Source organism: Homo sapiens, chromosome 18 (assembly GCF_000001405.40).
Source record: "Homo sapiens chromosome 18, GRCh38.p14 Primary Assembly".
Lineage (NCBI taxonomy): Eukaryota > Metazoa > Chordata > Mammalia > Primates > Hominidae > Homo > Homo sapiens.
The window spans coordinates 42,965,946-42,986,882 of NC_000018.10; the positions used below are offsets into that span (position 1 = coordinate 42,965,946).

General features: G+C 33.7%; 1 protein-coding gene across 2 annotated transcripts in view; it reads right to left on the bottom strand.

Moving 5' to 3' along the window:
• Window positions 1-20,937, bottom strand: part of RIT2 (Ras like without CAAX 2) — a 372,459-nt gene that overhangs the window by 222,719 nt on the left and 128,803 nt on the right. For both annotated transcript variants that reach the window (NM_002930.4, NM_001272077.2), the window contains exon 3: window positions 8,129-8,202. In NM_002930.4, coding sequence (NP_002921.1) covers window positions 8,129-8,202 — 74 coding nt within the window. The remainder of the gene's footprint in view (window positions 1-8,128; window positions 8,203-20,937) is intronic.

Consider the following 20,937-nt stretch of genomic DNA (forward strand, 5'->3'; position numbering starts at 1 on the left):
TTTCAGAAATGATTCATGAGCATAATGCTAGGATCACTCCAGCTTTGTCATTTAGAAGCCACGTGACCTTGGATAAGCCACTTAACCTCTTCTGAGCCCCAGTGTCTTTATTAGTAAACTGAAGAGACTGAAATATGTGACCTCCTGAAGCTCCTTCTAATTTTTTATATTCATAATTATGGAAATTTTCATGGACATTAAGTAGAAACCTTTGTAAATTGACTTCAGAGTTTCTGCCGAGAACTATCCTTAGTGAAATTTCTGTTGGCACAGTGGCCCAGCAGTAATTATAGGATGCAAAGTTCTTTCATTGTCCAACACAAAAATGAAATGCTGAAGGAAATGCTTTGAATTAATGGTGACCAGTAAGCTAAGAAATGAATGTTGAGAGATAATTGAATGACATTCTCTTTTTCGGCTATTTCTATTAAAAGTATACTTTAGAGAATCTTGGTAGTCATTTTATGTAGTACTCTTATGACAAGTATATGTATATTTTCTAATTTGGCAAATTTAGTATTGAAATTGTGAAGTTTCAGCTAAAAATATAAATGATAAATATAAATCTAAATATTCTACATATCATACTGATGAGCAATTAGGTTCATAAAGCATATTTTGATAAAAACATTCACTATGAGAGAAAGCTAAAGAGGTGATATGATAAAATATGTAGTGAAGAAATTTGACATTTCTTTCTCCAGTTTTGAGTCTAAATTATTTCTCAATATGTACAAAAATGAAAGTGTAAGTTCTCCAAGGTCAGGGAATGCCATGATTTTATTTCTTTTGTATCAATATGGAACAATCAATTGGGGCATTATAAATCTGTGTATGTTCAATTAATCATGTTGAGAATGTCAGATAGACACATATAGACATATATATATATATGATCTATATGCTTCATTCATTTTTATTAAGTCTTATTCTTAACTGTGCCTCTGCTTCATGATACAACTGTACCGTAGTTATGGCAAGCAGTATGGGCTAAACCTAATGTACTCACTAATGTGATCTTTCATATAGATACCAAATGGAATGCAATATTGTCATTCATTTATATAATCTAAATCCTTTCCCAATTGATCAATATATGCACCATGTAAATCAAGGAAAAGCTGAAAATAAATACTCCTAATGTTTAGAATTAGGGAAGAAAAAACTTTTTGTGAAAAATATCATAAAGGATATAAAGAAATATATCCTTTATGATATATTTCTCTCTCTATATATATCTATCTCCACATATAAGAGGAGACATAGTTGCCTCTTAAATACAGGGAAATACTAACAACACTGTGATTGGCTTCTATAAATCTTTTGTAAATCTTTCACAGTTGATGGTCTAGATAATTTTTTTTCCTGAGTCAATACAGATATTTACCCTTAAAACATACTGTAGAAATGGTCATCTTGTAAAAGGTGGTTGTTGTTGTTTTGAGACAGAGTCTCGCTCTGTTGCCCAGGCTGGAGTGCAGTGGCGTGATCTCGGCTCACTGAAAGCTCCGCCTCCCGGGTTCATGCCATTCTCCTCCCTCAGCCTCCTGAGTAGCTGGTATTACAGACGCCCGCCACCACGCCCGGCTAATTTTTTTTTTTTTTTTTTTTTTTTTTTTGTATTTTTAGTAGAGACGGGGTTTCACCATGTTAGCCAGGATGGTCTCAATCTGCTGACCTCGTGATCCGCTCATCTCGGCCTCCCAAAGTACTGGGATTACAGGCGTGAGCCACCACACCTGGCCAAAAGTTTTTTCTAAAATTTCATACTTTGTGCCTTCTTTAGCAAAAATCCAAATCATAATTCTTAATATATTGATAGTTTAATGGTGTTATTTATTAATATTATTATTATACCTAGCTGCTTGCCTTTAGAGCAAATGGTCCCAGACTTACATATTTATAAAATAATTTTTAAGTTTTATCTTACATTTTAAAATAATTTCATCTTTTTTCTATAAGTTGTCAGTTTATTCTACTATTAAAATATTTGTTTCTAGAAACCCAGTTTTAGTTCTTAAAATTTAGATAATCAGCATGTTATATCTGACACTAATATCAAATAGACTCAGAACGAGAACATGATAGTCTCCCATGTCGTGAAAGGGTTTATAAACAATGTAAGAATTTTATTTTAAGGATTTTCTTGACATTTGCTTGGGCTACTAAAATCATTTTTATTTGGTTTCTATTTTCTCGTCTTGTTCAGAATAGTGACTGGCTTTTCAACTATGCATGTTTAACCATAGTTGGTTTTATAGCCATGTACAGTACAGAGCCACTGTACTGGAGGAGAGCTACTAGTTTGTGGTTTGGATGACTATATAAATTAATTCAAACTGGAACACCTTTGAATGAAATTCAATGCTACCATAAGAATTAACAAGCATTAATTGCTATACAGCAGGAGATACCAACTAGGAATGTCCTGGGAAAATCAGGATTCATGCCAATCCTATTTGCAGTAATGTTAATAATAAATTGTTTTCAAGCATCTCAGAGCCAAAACAATGGATCATAATGAACTTGGCCCATTTTCCCCAAGATCAAAGGGTATGCTTAGTTCTATCAGTTTGGGATGTGAGTATGGTTGTAAACATATTCTGTCTTCTCATAGTTAAAGCTGGACTAGCATTTGTTGATTCTCCTAATGAGAATGCTTATAAAATCAGTTTGTACTTAAATATCTGGCTGTATTTTTAACTGTTCTTTATCAAGTTTTCTTTTAACTTTTCCTCATATATTTCTGACTATATGGCAAGTACTTCAGGTTAAGCCTTATTTCTAGAGTTTTTAAAAATGTGCCTTACTTCTAGATGGACTAGGTAATACCAGCATGGAGTGATTTAAGAAGTATGTGAACAGAATACACATTGTAAGATTATAGTAACAGGATACCTGTATTCGAGTCTAGTGTTGGGTAGGCAGCAGTGAGGAGAAGTACATTGGAGGAGGTAGTAAAAGGAGGGTAGCAATCTCTCCACTTCCTCAGTGTCACATCCTAAGGATAATATATGAATTTGAAAATTGGGAATGTTCTTAAAGCCTACCTTCCCATACCTTTTGATTTTGATGTTACAAAGCTTGCATCGACTCTTACTTAGTAAGTTAGTTAGCATCCATCAAATAATCAAAACTATCAAAATGTAGTAAAAGTGGACAGGAGAGTTTGGACACATGTATTGATTCTAGAATATAATTAGTGAGGAAATGTCCTAAACATCATTCTAATAGAAGCTCTTGATTTGGAATTTTATTTCCAGTTTCAGAACAATTCTAGCCCATTTTATTCCTCTGGACCTTAAAATATCCAAAACCATTTATAGAATAATAGGATTCCTTAAGGAAGGGGTCATGCCCTTAAGTATTCTCTTTAAAGATAAGCCACAAACTGGGGAAGAAAGGAAAAAAATAAATTGTGGCTAAAAAGCAATTTAAGCTTTCAGAGAAGAATTATATAAAAATTAAGCTCGTAGTAATTCAGAAATCACAGGGCTTTATATCTGGAAGACACTTTAGAGATCAAGTCTAATTTATTCATTTCACAGATGAGTAAACTAGGTCGAGATTGGCTACAGGACTTGCTTGACTGCAGAGTTGGTTAGGAACTAAACCTAATACCAAACTACAACTGTTTCCCATTGTTCCAGAATGACTTAATCCAGGCCAAAGCCAGGTATGGGGCAAGACTTAGGTCATGGAATTGACTGGATATGTTAGCATTTCAAAAAAAAAAAAAAATTGAAGGTATTTGCAGAATTAATTTTTTTGCTTCTAATAAGAATGAGGATTATTCAATACATTTATAAAGTAAACATGATATATATTTTGCTAGAGTTTCACCTAAACTTATAATTATTTTTAAAATACTTTATCTTTAATTTTTTATTTAGATCATTTAGATATCAAAGATAACCCAGTATCAAAATTTGTGCACTTCTACCATAGTATTTATTATAATTTGCTGCAATTTTTAATTTAGAGTATCTTCACTTCCCCAAACCTCAAGCATTTTGAAGACAGAGCCTCAATTTTATTTCACTCTGTATTTTCTTGACCTATTGCAGTTCTTGGTACACACTAAGTTATTCCATAAAAAAAGTGAAATAAGAAAGAGCTTGAGTAAAATGTAAATGGATTTTAGACATAGCTAGCTTAAGAATTTGCCGTACTACCTTAGATAAATCACATTACCTCTATGAGCCTTGCATTTTCCACGTATGTAATGAGTAATTTTTTTTTTCAGGAGATAGATCTGGAACCAATAGATGGAAACTATAAAGAAATTCTCAGCTCATTGTAAGAAAAACTCTTTCTAATAAGTAAAGTTTTCCAAAGCTGTGCTTGTTTCCTAAAACAGAATTCTTAACAAATGGAAGACATCAATCATAGCCTTAATGAGCATGTAGCAGAAGAGTTAAGTATTAAAAAAATTAAATGCTGGAAAGATGCTTAGGGTACAAGTTCTTTATAATCTGAGATTTGGTGATGCCATGGGATTATTGTGGCACTGCAAGATTATGTGTATAATAAGATGAAGTGCAGGACATGCTACCCCAAAATATGGTACCTTGGAAATGCAGAAAACCTCAAAAGCAGAAAGGTCTATCTGAACTTCTCTCACCCCTGCTCTTTTGAAGACCCTCATTGACAGGTATCCAGTCCTACACCCAGAGCAAAGGAATATTGCACAGAAATGCCAAAAAGAATTTTTGATCCTTTATGGTATGGTAATGGTTTGGTTTATTACCATTAGCAATGGTAATGGTTTATTAATATTAGGTTATATCCATTTATATTCAATCACACTTCGCACTATTGTTCATTCTTAATCAAACCTGAGCATAAAAATACACATTTTTTCCTGGGTCTTTGAGTCTTCATTTTGGAAAGCTCCCACATCATGTAAAGCTTTGGTCAAATAAAGCATTATGCTTATCTATTGTTAATGTCTCTGTCTTTTGTTATAGGGTGTCAGCCATGAAGCTTGCAATGGGCAAGGGAAATATATCACTTGGTCTCTTTTACAAGCACAATCATGAAACACATTGGGACTTGGCCTCCAGTATTGCCACCAAGAAAACACCCACTTTACTTCTTTGTATAACATTTTACTCAAATTCTAGGTGATGACATTAATAATAGCTTTTCTGTCTACTTCCTGGATTTGTTGTAAGGATAGTAAACTTCAACATACATTGAAAATTAATAGTACCAAAAGACAACAAGGTGATATTATTAAAAGAATTTCAATGGTGTTCTCTCCTGTTTCCTACAGGGAACATAAATTCTGTTAAAACAACTGTATAGACCACCTCCTGAATGGAAGGATTTAATAATGGTTTGAAAGCCAACATTTCATCATCTGTTTAGCCTGATGTACTCCTGACTATGTTTGGCTGCAGTTGAAACTAGCTTTAAAAAATTTTTATTGATATGAACATTTAATAGCTTTATCTTTTTAATTGTATGTTTGCCAGTTTCTCAGTATTACTAGAGCATAGAATTTCAGATTTATCTCTCATCACTTACCACTTCACCCACAATGAGGTAAGATTCTCCATCTCCAGCCATATGTAACTAAAAAATGTTCTATTAATATTCTGTATTGCTCAGCTATTGCCACAATAATGCTACAAGACAAACCACCTCAAACTTAGTGTCTTAAAGCAACTAGTGTTCATGATTTTTCTAGTTCACAAATCTGTGTGGTATCTGTAGCAGATCTGTTCCATGTGTGGGTAGACTGGGCTTTCTTTCTTTGGGTTGGGTTTAGGTCTTTTCACAGGTTTTCTCAATCACTGAGGACAAAGGGTTATCTGCAGCATTCCCTTTTCTTGAGAAGTAGCACAAGTACACTTAGTGCTTCTAAAGATCTTGGACCAAGACTAGCAGATTGTCTCATCTGCCTGCATTCCATTGGACTAAGCAGTGACATAGTCAAGTCTACATCAATAGAAAGGAGAAATATATTGGCTATTCATCATTATATTGGCACCACACTGGGGACCAGGTAAGTCCATGTAAATACTGTAGACTGAATGAATATTCAATAAATGAAAATTTCACTTTCTACCAAAGCATAATTCTAGTTGAGTGTTTCCAACAACACAAATTTGCTATTTCCCAGAGCAGCCATTTTTTTTATTTGATCATTTTAGTTGCTACAAACCCCCTATTATCATGAATAAAATTTAACCTACTCAATGTTCTTCCAATTAGATCTCTAGTTTCCACTGAAAAACAAGTACACTTCCTCTTAGATAAGATAGCCCTTTCAAATAATTGAAATAATTTTTCCATTGTATATATTCCCAGTGGCTTCAACAGTTCTAACCCCCATAAGTCCATTGTTCAAATGTTTCTAGAAGCAAATGCATCTGTTAATATATAGATTTCAAATAGTCTTCAAATAACTCATAAATATAGAAAGAGATGACCTATTTCTAGTTGCTTGTACACTATCAATATTCCAATTATGCAGTTTTTTTAAAAACAGTAACATAGCGATGAGAAAATACAATGTTTTAAAATAATGAAAATAAGTACAAAGGGAAATAATATGATGAAGATTTGTGTATACATGATGTAGGTTTTCAACTTAATAATTTCCTACATTAGAACTCTAATAGAACATGAATCATTACATGTATAGTTAAAATCTACTTTGTATTTCCCCCCTTTCTTAACTTTTCCCCTTTCTCCCATAAGAGGTAACAACTTGCTTAAATATTTTATAAAAATTTACCACATTCTAAGCCACAACCAAAAATTCTATATACATCAAATAATCAATCTTTTACAGACTACCTTATTTACATTTTGATCCAAAATCAATAAAAAATTATAAACAGGATGTGTATGTGAAACAATGTCTACTTTTGTATTGACTGAAGTATTCTGTTTAAGTTAAATGTGTTTACAAATCTTTTACAACTATACAGCCTTTTAATTGAATACCAGCAGAGGTGCATTAAAACTTTCTACTATATAAAATTTTGAATTTGTAAATGATTTACAGTTCTCTTGATTTGCCTTAAATATTATAGATTAGAATTTTAGAATATTCTGACACTTCTAATTTAATAATACTTTTGCATAACATCTATTTGCCTTATATTAATACAGGTATACTTACTTTGAGTTTGGCTACTTTTGCCTACCTTTTTAATTCCTTATTTGATTTTCCATTTTTCTGTACCATTTGTCTCTTTTAACCCAAATATAGGGTTGTTTTATTCTTTTGTTCAATATGATACTGACAATATTTGCCTATTTTAGGACAGAGAGATTTATTTATTTTGATATCTGATATTTTGATATGTGTACATTATACCTCCTTGTTACCTTTTTATGCTTTCTTTTTTGTCTTATATTGTATTAACAACTTTTTTTATTCTTCTCTTTTTCCCATGCTTGTATCAAATTATATGGTTTATGTCTAGCACTTAATATATGAGTTTATATTTTTAACATAATCATTTTGAAAGTATTAAGTTAAATAAAATATCCACCTTTCTTCAAAATATATCTAGGACATGGAGATGTTTTAAATCTTATACCTTTCCTCACAACTTACTTATAATTGTGATGTAGTATTTTAGTTCTATTTTTATGTCACAAAAAAATTACTTCTCTTTCTCTCTTCCTCCTTCATTTTCTTCTTCCCTACAGGTTTGCAAACTAACATAGTAGACCATACTAAATCTTGGTTATGTCACTTATTTCACTTATTCCATCAGGTTCCTTATCCTTAGTTCCATGAGCAGATTTGCTAAGCAGATCTTTCTTTATATTCACCTAAAATTCTCTAATAGAAATTATCACATTAGGATCTATGTCAGAGTTTTGTGCAAACCTGAGGAAAAAAAATAAAGTATTTTTAAATTTTATAATTTAATTGGCAATATAACACCTATATGGACTCTTTTATTTTTAGAAAATTGAGGGAATTTGGAAATATTCTGGTTGGTAATTTTGATTCTTTTAAAATTTAATTCCTGATTGTTATCACAAATTTGTTCTTCTTCTGCTTGAATAAAGTCATCTTCTCCTTTGTTGTAAATATATTTGAAGCTAAAGCATAAAATAAACTCAGAGATTGGAGAGGTTTAAGAACATCACCTACCTGGCCAGCAGTGTCCAAGATGTCCAAGTAAGCTGGCTCATTGTCAATCCTGACCTGGGTCTTATAAGCATCTTCTGAAAAACACAAGACAACATTTACATTTAAATGTGACAGGAAAGGCATTATTAATTTTTAGATTTCATATAGAAGAATTTCTAAGTAAGTTACTAAGATAATTAGAAATATTCCTCAAATAACGTATATAGATTGAAAAATGATGTAACTCAGGAAAATATAGGAGAAAGTGTTTCTGCTTATGGTGAAACCAAGTAGATTTCTCTTTCATCAGGAAAATTTTGCGATCTGAGGCGCCCTAGTGATGTTACCTAGAGAAAAACATGGAACAAATGTTATTCGTTCTTTCCTAACAATGCAGGGCAAAATTGCATCCTATCACCTTAATGGTAAAGTCCTGAAAGCTTTTATTAGAAGATCAGGAGTAAGACAAGATTCCCTGCTCTCACCTCCCTTATTTAACATAGTACTAGAAGTCATAGCCAGAACAATTAGGCAAGAAGAAAAAATAAAATCATCCCAATTGGAAAACGAGTAAAATTATCTCTGTTCACAGACAACATGATCTTATATGTAGAACCCTAAAGATTACATACATGCAAACCCTAAATGAATTCAGCAAAGTTGTAGAATATAAAGTCAACAAGCAAAAATAAGATATGTTTCTATCAACTAATAATAACGTGAAGAGAAAATTAAGAAATCAATTTCATTTATAATGGCATCAAAATTAATGAAATACTTAGAATTAACAAAGGATGTGAAGACTTCTACATTGAAAATGGTAAAATGTTGCTGAGAGAAATTAAAGAAGGCACAAAATATTGAAAGACATTTGACATTTATGGACTGAAAGATTGTTAAAATGTCATACCTGCCAAAGGAATCTGCAGAGTTAATGCTGAGTTAAATGGTAATTCTGTTTTTTTGTTATTTGAGAAATTACCACACCACTTTCCACAATGGCTGAACTGATTTTCACTCCCAGCAGCAGTGTATAAGCATTCCCTTTTATCTGCAACCTCACTGGCATCTGCTATTTTTTTGACTTTTAAATGGCCACTCTGACTGGTGTGAGATGGTATCTCATTGTGTTTTTTATTTGTATTTCTCTACTGATTAGTGATGGTGACATAAAGAGATGTAGAATGTTATCAAAAGTCGTTTCTGCGTCTATTGAGATAAATAACCATGTGGATTTTGTTTTTAGTTCTATTTATACAATGAATCACACTTATTGATTTGTATATGTTGAGTCAAACTTGTATCCCAGGGATGAGGCCTACTTGATCATGATGGATTAGCTTTTTGATGTGCTGCTGGATTTAGTTTGCTAGTATGTTGTTGAGGAATTTTGCATATGGATGAACAAACCATGGCTGAGAGTGTGGGATGTAGGTCATGGGCTGCTTTATATACACAGCCAGGACCAAGGTCAGTGAGCCTGTTACTCAAGACAGAGAGGACCCTGAGCAGATAGTGATAATGGCAAGGTTAAGGCCAAATTTTAATATAGCTGAGTACACAGGGAGATGAAGTTGTCTTTGGGTCTGTAGTTGGGACAACAGTAAGTGAGCCTGCCACCTGGATTTTGGCCTGCCTTCTGAAAATCTTCATCCTTGGTCTGGGGCTCCACTACAGTTTCACAACTTCCTGCCTAGATTCCCAAACTCCCACCATGTTCCCACAAAGCCATTTGTGAATGGCTGTCAAATTATTGTTGCTACGGGGGAATATGAGTGGGAGATCTCCTATTCTGCCATCTTGCTGACATCATGTACCCCAGTTCAAGATCTTTCTTCTATTTTAATGTAAGCATCTACAGCTAGACATTTCCATTTTAGCACTGCTTTTGCTATATCCCATCAGTTTTAGAATGCTGTGTTTTCATTTTCATGCATGTGTGACTATTTTCTAATTTCCCTTGAGATTTCTTCTTGAACTCATTGGTAGTTTGAGAATTGGTTGTTTAATTTCCACATGTTGTAAATCTTTCCGTTTTCTTTCAATTGTTGGTTTCTAGTTTTATTCCATTGTGATTGGAAAAGATACTTTGTATGATTTGAATATTACTTCCCACTTATACTTGAAAGATAAAGAAATGCTTCCTGGGAGAAGTAGCACCTAAATTGAGTAGGAGGGGTTAAGAGAAAGTGAAGCAAGAGAGAAAAGGAAAAAAAGAAAAAAAGAAAACCAGAATCCCATATGTTGAAAAGAGTATGGAACAACAACAATAAAAACTTAGACAATTTCAGTGTTCCTAAATCCTAGAGTTTAGAGGAGAAATGTTGATGAAATGTAAGAGATAAATAAGATTAATTATGAATATATTTAAAAGAGTCATGTATTTGAATGAGGTATCTGAAGTCAGACTGCCTGGGTGTAAACCCTGGTTCCAGCATTACTAGCAGTCTGATTTTAGGAAAATCACCTGACCTCTCTAAAAGGTAGATGTCTCATTTGTAAAGGTAACAATTATTTGTGTTTGGGTCATGTAGTTGTTACAAGGATTAAATGATACAAGATGAGGAAGTCACCTTATATTTTGTATGTAATAAATACAAGAGTGTCTTGCATGTAAAAAAACTAATAAAGGATGAATATGTTCATTATTATTAAGAAACGTGGAGTTCATTATAATGCCATCTTCAAATGTGCATTTTAGAATGCTCGCTCTGGCTGAAATGTGGTGAGTGAATTGCAAGACGGAAGACTAGAGGCACAGAAAGAAGATTAAGTAAATATGTAGTAATTCAGGTGAGAAATAATGTATAAGATAATGGCATTAGGGTTGGAGGAAAGTTGACAGATTTGCAAGATGTTTAGAAGGTAGAAACTATAGCACTTAGTGACTAATTGTGTGAGAAAACAAGAAGGAGGAAGGTAGAAGAGAAACTCTCAGATTTCTTGCATTTGAAGCTGGGCAGATGGGTATGACATTTCCTGAAAGAGGGGAGGCAGAAGGATAACCACAGGTTTAATTTTAGAAACGTTGACTTTGCCATGTCTGTGGCTCATTCAAGTGAAGACAATAAAGAAACAGTTATCTGGGCCTGAAGCTCTGGATAAAGCTCTAAGGCTCTTCTTTCATTGTATTCATTTATGGTCTTATTCATGCCAATCTTATTCTACATATCTCAGCCTGTTAAATATCTATACTTCTGTAAAACACAGTTTTACACATTATCTGTAAAACACAGCTGGAGCTCCTGAAACTGGAAGTCATAAACTCCTAGAGTCTGGCTGCAATCTACATTTTGTTTTATGTAGCATTTATATTATAAGCAAAAAGCAAACTGAATCACTGCTAAAAGCTTTTAAAACATCATCGGATTTTGGCACAACTCAATAATTATTCATACTGTTGATTGTGAGCCACAAGTAAACAAATGAATTATTTTCAGAAACCGTTGCTGTAGAAAGTAGTAATGATCAACCATAGGAGGCATTTTTCCAATGTATAATGGTGAGTAACTCTCACAAATCAGATTATTGCTAGCTGCTGGAGCTTTGAAGACACACAAAAACACACATGGGCACATACAATCATAGTCTTTACTCTCAAGGGGTTTGTAAAATAATGGTGGGAGACATACATATAAACACATATATACAATGGGATGTCAAAATCACAAAATGTATAAAAGCATAAATGCCACTTCAAGGAAATTCATTTCTTATGACTGTGCTCCAGAAGGTAGAAGTTGTGGAAAGTATGACTTGCAGGGTGCTCCATCTAGTATGATTTTAGCAACTCTCAGCCATTCTAAATGTATTCAGCATATGGCCAACCATACAATTTTTCTATTTTCTATTCCACTGCTCTTTGTACATTCACTGATATTCCTCTCCCAAAAGAGAAATCTTGTGGAATCACTTGCAATTTATTTGAAGATGCATGGGGTTGTTTTTCAATTTCACAGGGAAATAAGAATAGTTACTCTGAAAAGGGCTCTGTGACCCAAGGATTATAAGTGAATCTTTCAGATTTCGTGTTTGTTTATTTAAACTCAAAGCCCCAAAGAAGAGCCTGCTGAGGCCAGGGGCACGCTGAGTAATCTAGGTGAGAACTCCTCTGTGTGATTATCTGAGCTCTAGATAAGCCCAGCACATGAAACGTATATCAAATAAAAGCTTCTCTTGGGATCAGAAAATCCCTTCAAAGGGACTTGATGAGAATTGGCTAGAAACTAAAGCCAGACCTTTTATCCACGGCTTTTTTTTTTTCTCTCTTTTAAAAAGTGTCTATCAGAGTACACATTTCATTGTGGGGAATCTAGGTCACCTGCCTGGCCTCCATAGAAACTAATCCTTTTCATTTCCTCCCCATAAACAATCTTTCTGTTTCCATTCATTCACTCCCTTTGAGACCACCCATGCAGAAATACACTGTCAGAAATACTCTCTTGAATGCATATAAACACTTCCCTGAATTTCAATCATCTGCCTATAGACCCAATCCTGAAGTGAACTCATTTATCTTCTCAAGCATGAGGCCAAATGTATACAAAGCTTTATCAGGCAGAAATGGTAGCAGCTGCCTGCTGTATCATTTGCGCAGAAAAGCACACTAGGACTGCATTCTTGGAGGCATCCACTACCTTAAAATTTATCTCAAAGTACTAATGTTTAATTTGAGATCATTGCTTCTCAGGATATATCTTCTCCACTGTCCCTCTTCAGCAGAATTGCATAAGAAGAAATCACTAAAGACCTATATTAAAGCCTCAAATCTATCACTAAATATCTGTTATTGGTTGGCCATGAAACCTTATTTGTAAGATGGCGATAATAGTAACACTAGTCAACGCATGGGAGTTCTATAAGGATCAACAAAAGTAGCACATAAGACAGTGCTTTTGAAAAAAGAAAGCAAAATTCAAACTCAAGGAATATTATGTTATGAGTTTTATTTAGTACTGCTTCAAATTAGCCATGAAACTAAATTAAAACTAAATTATTTCTGCTATTTATATTTACCCATGTGGAAATGTTTTTCCCAAGTAAATCATAAACTTTTTGGCAAGATATGTTTGCAATAATAACTAGAAATATAAAGTTTTTGATTAATTAAAAAGTGTAAGGTATTCTGGATAATTTTCCCAAAGCAGCTAATGTATTTTTTTCAGAATAAACATATTCATTTACATAATTTTAAAATATTTTAGTTGCAAATATAAAATTAGGATAATATAAGACCACCAAAATATATAACTAAGAAAAAAATATCAGAAATTTAATGGTAAATTTTCATTAAATGATTTTCAAATATCTTAAGATGATTGAATACTTCTTACATGGTTTACCTCATAATCTGAAATATATAATTCATATTACAATGAAGCTATTTTTCTATAACTCCAAGCTATTATACACCTCCAAGATATTAATCACTGACCCAAATTTTTTAAAGGCAATAAATAGTACAAAGTCTCATAGAATCAATTTATAAGATCTTTCTCAAAGGATTACTTGAATAAATCATCTCAATTGTAGGTACATATGTGTGTCTGTGTGTACAGAGCAGAAGTATCTTGCAACGTACTGTGCTGCACACTTTTTCTTGACCAAAATGTTAAATCCTGGATGAATCAGCATTGATACAAATCTAATGTATGTATCAATATATTGATCAATAAAGGGTTCAATATGTATTTGAGTATGTAATAGGTGCTGCACACTCAGATGGCAATACAGTCTACACAACTGAAAAAGCCAGGTGGTTTCCACCCACATTGAATTTATAATCTTGTGGGAATACATAAAAAAGCAATTGCACTGTATTTTAATGAGTGCTACATTAGAAGTACTTTGAAGGGTGCTTATTTAGGGAGATGTCAGAGAACACTCAGAGGAACTGATGTTGAGCTAAGGTCAGTTCTTCAAGTGATGGATTGAAAACAGAGTTAGGAAGGAGGAAGACAAGGAGGGCTCTGCCACGAAAAGAGAAAAGAAGTTGCATGAGATCTGATGTAACCCTTCCTTTGGGCCTAAACATTCAGTGAAATGTCATAAAAGTCTACCTGTTTGTTGGCTGTGAAAAAGGCTTGTAAAACTGGCTGAACTGAGTTTGTGGGACGACTCAGGGCAAAGAAGAACAACCTTTCCTATCATAGAAGTAAAAGCTGAAGACAGGGTACCACAAGGACCTAAACCCTAGAAATTCACAGGAATTATAAGGCAGAGCATGGATTTTTTCTCATGCTGTAATATTGAGAATTCAGTACAGTTTACTTAGGTCTCTGAGAAATAGGAGCTTCCAGATGATATCTGACTTACACAGCAATTGAAATCTTTCCCCCAGAAATCAACTACCCCACTAGCATCTATTTATATAGATGGAATCTCCCTAGTATCAGAGGGATGCTGATTGGTGTCAACTACCCCACTACCACTAGGTAGGTAATAGGGTAGTTGATACCAATCAGTATCTCTCTGATACCCCCCGGAGATTCCCAGTGTTACTGCTCTGGAAAGTCTGCCCAAAGTGGCCAATCACACACTTTCTGTGGTGTTTGCAGGCAGATTCTCCAGTGACTAACATGCTTGTCAGAATGTCTGTGCCCCTGGACTCCTCTGCAGGAGGCCTTGCCAAGAACAGAAAACCCAATGAGGAAGGGCAAGCTGGGGTGTGTCCTGTGGAGACACAGAACCCTACCTGGAGATTTGCAGGTACAGAGGACCACTACTGGAAGATGTCATTTTAAACAATGACTTATCAGATCAAGGACAAGCAGATGGAGATGTATTTGATAAGGAATATACTGATCTTCTGATGAGGGGACATGTAGCCCTGGCAAGAGTATGCAGAAGGAACAGCCAAATGACTGCTCTTCCCCAAAGTCATTATCTACAGAAAATGCTTCAGTGTGTCTCTCATATGTTAGAAACATTTAATCTTTTCCTTTCAACCTGAGAGAGTAGAAGGATCCATTGGAAACCTAATTCCCTGGCTGTCTTCTGCCAAATAAATATGAGCAACAGGACTAGGTCACGGTCACTGATGCTGAATGTCTCCAGTTCTTTGTGTCTGCCTCACTTAATTATTGCTTGGGGATGAAGGGGAAGAGAAGAAAATAATCTTTCCTCCCCAGCACCTGGCATCTCTTGGTCTACCTTTTTAACACCTCAAAAATACCCTTGAAAAATGGCTTTATGATCCTAAGACCATGATCTCTGCAATACCTGTCTTCCAGAGGTTGTATATGACAGAATGAGCTTAAATACATATTATTTCTTCACAGAAATAAAAAGAACTTTTATGATCAAGGCAATTGTACAAGTCTCAGTGTCCTAATGACTCTTCATCCTCATCTGATGGACCCTCGGAGAGGATTCCAATGTACCTCTGATGCCCATTGAGAAACTATGAGAATATCTAGCGACAAAGGTCTGATTTATACTAAGACTGCTATTTCTGGGAAGATAAAATCGATGACATTTTTCCTATTGTTCCTGCTATGTAAAATTTAAAACCAGGAGCCAATCATCATCCCAAAAGACACAATCCAAAATGCCATAATCTCGAATGTTGAAATCCTGGAAGATCAAAATTCCAGAAATAGAATTCTGGAAAAAAAAATTAAAAATATTAAAAATATATTTATTCATATTTTAAGGGAATTCCTTTGAGAAAAATATATAAATATGACAGAATACTTCATAGGCCACTTTAAACAATAAAATAAGCAATAATAACATACATATTTTTGCAAACATAAACACTCAGGTACATTAATGACAGTCTCAGGAATATAACAGCTATGAGAAGATAAACTATATTCATAAAGAAATAGGTCAAAAAGTGAAATGTATAAACACATATCACAAAGGTTGTTCATTGTGTGCATGTAGCTTTATAATTGCAGTCCACGGAAACACTGTCATGAACAACCTAAGTCCTGACTAGATTGACTAGAATCCATGATGGGTCACTACCATCTATGTCTGAAGAGCTGAGATCTCAAGAAATTTTATATTTCACAAATGCAGATGTACAAAAAGGACTTCTCTTCATTGATGGTGGAAGGTTTAACCTTTTTACATTGAGTACCAAGAAAGCCAACTCTTAGTCGGAAGCCAAAGCCTCAGAACTTGGGGAGCTGCTGGTGTAAGACCTGGAGTCCAAAGGCTGGTGAGCCTGGAGTTCTGAAGTCCAGCGCAGCAGAGGAAAAGTCTGTCTCAGCTCTCAGAGAAAGATCAATTCACCTTCCGCATTTGTTCTCTGCGGGCCCCCAGTCAATTGGATGGTGCTGCCAACGTTGATGGCAAATCTTTCCTAGCTAGTCCACTCAGACTCACATAGTGATCTCTGCAAACACTCCCACATACACACCCAAAATAATGCTTTACCAGGCTTCTACATATTCCTTAATCCAGTCAAGTTAACACCTAAAATTAAGTCCACAAATCCACTCCTTATCATCTTGACACCCATACACATTTCCTAAAACCATACTTAATGTCCAAATAAAACAAGGTAATAGCTTCAGCTAACATGATACAGTTATCCCATTATTGTAATTTTCAGGATTTTAGATGTTAGGGATTTTAGACTTTTGGGATGTAGATTTAGGAATTTTGATCTTTCAGGATTTCAACTTTCAGGACTATGGCATTGAGGATAGTGTCTTTTGAGATTATTATCCAAATTTACACTTGCTCAAAAACTAAATACTTATGTGTATATTGAACAAAACACATACATAATTTATATGCTAAAAATTATACAATACTAATGAAAGAAATCAAATATTTAAATAAATATTATTTTTATAGATTGGAAGACAGCATAATAAAGATGTTCATTCTGTTCAAATTTATGTCATGATTTAACAAAATTCTTGTCAGAATTGCAGAACATTTTTTGTATCTATAGCATAACTATTTAAAATATTTTGGGAAAAAGGAAAGGATTTGGAATAGAATTTTAATTCCACAATATAATGAATAGAAAGGAATAGGAATTTTGAAAAGGAAAAATAAAATGGAAAGAATCAGTTTACCTGATTTCAACAGTTATCATACAGCTACAATAATCAAAACAATATGATGTGGGCAAGGGATACAGACACATAGATAGATAGAACAGAACAGAGAATCCAGAATAAAACCCACAAAAAATGTGACTGACTAAATTTTGACCAAGGCACAAAAGCAATTTAGTGGAGGAAAAAATAAGCGTTTTTAACCAGTGGTGTGGGACCAACTAAAACCCCATTGGCAAAACAAAAAATCCTAGAGCTAATCTCATGCCTTTCACAGAATTAACCTAAATGGATCACAGAATTGAATATACAATTTAAAGCTACAAGTTTTAGAAAAAAAAAATGAGAAAATCTTCAAAATCAAAGTCTTAGAATTAAATTTCTAAGATGACATATTAAGCATAGACTACAAAAAAATGAACTTCACCAAAATTTTAAAAATCAATATCTTTTACTCTATGAAAGACTCCATTAACATGAGGAAAAGACCAGCTAGAACAGCAGAAAATATTTGAAAATCACATATTTGACAAAAAACTCATGTTTAACATATATAAATAACTCTCAAAACTCAAGAGTAAAAGCAAAAAATAGGCAATCCAATTACAAAGTGATCAAAAGACAGGAAGGGCAATTTTCACCAAATATTACATATAGATGGCAAATAAGCACATGAAAACATGTTCAACATTATTAGCCTTAAATAAGTACAAATTAAAACCACAATAAGATATCTCTACATACCTAACAGAATGGCTAAAATAAAAAATGTAGTGACATTAACCTAATGCTGGTAAGAATGTATAAAAATTGGATCATGGACACATTGCTGATGGATACACAGAATGTTACAACCACTCTGAAGATTGTTTCCTACAACAATTTAAAGAAAACTAATCATGCATGTATCATACAGAGCAACAATTGCATTCTATATGTATCATATAAAATAGCAAGTGCACTCCTGAGCATTTATTTTAGAGAAATAAAGACATGTTCACACATGAACACAAAGAAAGTAATGTTTTCAAGTTGTTTATCTTAGTTTTATTCATAATAGCAAAAAACTGTACACATAGCAAATATTTTTCAATCAATGAATGGTTACACAAACTGTGATACAACCATATCACGGAATACTGTTGAATAATAAAAAAGCAGTGGAGTATAATTGATACAGGCAATAAAGTGTGTGCATCTCTTTCAAATTATTCTAACTGAAACAGCCAATCTTTATTGGTTACAAACTGTATGATTCCACTTATATAATATTATTTACATGACAAAATTGTAGATATAAAGAACAGATTTGTGGGTGCCAGGAATTGTGGAGAGAGCAAAATATGGCTTCATAAGGCAACATAAGGGATCCTTGTGGTCAGGGAAATGTTCTGTGTTTTGACTATCAATATCAATATCCTGTTTGTGACACTTCGTTACAATTTTCAAGAGGTTACCATTAGGAAAACTGCATAAAGGGATATGAGATGTTTCTGTATTATTTCTGTTTTTTATTTATTTCATTTATTATACTTTTTTGGCTTCCAAGAAGAAACAATCTGTATTATTTCTTATAATTCCACGTGAAATTATAATTATCTAAAACTAAAAAGTTTAATTAAAAATATCAGTATCCACTTATGTTTTAAAAACTCCAAATTTCAAAAAGCATATTAGAAAACTGGGCATAGAAAGCATCTTGCTTTACTGATTACTGGGTGTCTAAACAAAACCGAAAGCTAACATCATGATTTATAGAAAAATACTAAAATTATTCCCTCTGAGAGTGGGTACAAGATAAGAATACTCAGTATCAACAGTTTTATTCACCTCATGCTTGTGATTCATACATGCTTAGTTCTGCAAGAAAAATGATTGATGTGAAAAAAAAGTTTAGCATAGAAAAAAATGCCTCTATTCATGAAAAATATTGTTTGGGCAGGCATGTAGAAAATTCAAAGAAGCTATAGAAAAACTAGATTAAATAAATGATTTTGTTGAGTTTTCTGGCAACAAACTTAGTAAAGAAAAATCAACTTATTTGTGAGTATAAGAAACAATGAGATGGGAAATTAGATTATTTAATGATGCAATTTACCATAATATAAAAAATTATCAAATTCCAAAGAATAAATCTTGTAAAATGTTTGTAAGACTTCTACTTAGAAAGCTATGAGATGTTATGAAGAAAGTTAAAGATCATCTAAATAAGTGGAGGTATATGCCATGTTTATGGGTTGGATGATTCAATATTGTAATGATGTTAGATTTTCCCTAATTGATCTAGAAATGCATATCAAACAGATTTTGGGGTGGGAGCAGTGATGCACCAACTGATTCTAAATTTATATGGAAATGAACAGAGCCAAGACTTTGTTTAGAAAATCTTGGAAAAGGACAACAAGCTCTACCATGTATTAAGACTTACTGTTAATTCATAGCAGTTAAGACAGTGTGATACTGGCACATGGGTAGAAAAATAAACAGAATAGAGAACCTACATACTTATGAATCATTTTTTAATATTACAGTTGGCATTTCTGAGCAGTGGAAAAAATCTTTCAATAAATAAAATTGTTAATGGAACATAAATATTGTAATTTATATATTGGATATAAATATTGGGAAATAATGGAATTTGCTACCATACACTATATACAATAAAGAAATTTTAATTAGATTGTAAATATAAATATTCAAAGAAAAACAATAAAGCAAATAGGAGATACTTTAGAAGAATACCTTCATGACTTAGAGTGATAAATCTTAATAACTAATATAAAATGGCATAAAGTAAAAGATTGACCAGTTGGAATACATTTATAAAAATTGGGCTACATTAAAAACAAAAAACATTGTTCATCGAAAGTTTTTAATATGAGAATGAAAATATGAGTCATTTTATGAAATAAAGTGGGTGTAACAACAAAACGTTCATATCCAGAATATGTATGGTTTTTTCTTTTCTTTTTTTTTTTTTTTAGATGGAGTGTGGCTCTCATTGCCTAGGCTGGAGTGTAGTGGCATGATCTCGGCTCACTGCAACTTCTGCCTCCTGGGTTCAAGCAATTCTCCTGCCTCGGCCTCCTGAGTCACTGAGATTACAGGCACCCACCACCACGCCTGGCTAATTTTTGTAATTTTTAGTAGAGATGGGGTTTCACCATGTTAGCCTGGCTGGTCTTGAACTCCTGACCTCAGGTAATCCCTCCCAAAGTGCTGGGATTACAGGCGTGAGGCACCTTGCCCGGCCCATATCCAGAATATGTAAACATTCCTACAAATCATTCACAAAAAGGCAACCTCCAATGAAGGGCAGGCAAAAGACTTAGGGTTAGCTTTCTTTTTGGTTGTTGGGGTGGTGGTTTTTAGTTGGTTGGTTTGTTAATAGTAGCAGATAAAGCTGTTTATTTTTATTATGCATTTTATTTATTTATTTATTTTGAGATGGCGTCTTGCTTTGTCACCCAGGCGGGAGTGCAGTGGCATGATCTCAGCTCACTGCAACCTCCGCCTCCTGGGTTCAAGCGATTCTCATGCCACAGCCTCCTGAGTAGCTGGGACTATAGGTGTGTGCAACCGTGCCCAGCTAATTTTTGTATTTTTAGTTGAGACGAGGTTTCACCATGTTGGTCAGGCTGGTCTCAAACTCTTGGCCTCAAGTGATCTGCCTGACTTGGCCTCCCAAAGTGCTGGGATTACACGGTAAGCCACCGAGCCCAGCCAGCTGTTTATTTTTTGTAATAAACCAGAAATGTAAATTATTATTTTAGTAAATAAACTTAAAGCTGTATAACTTTATTAACA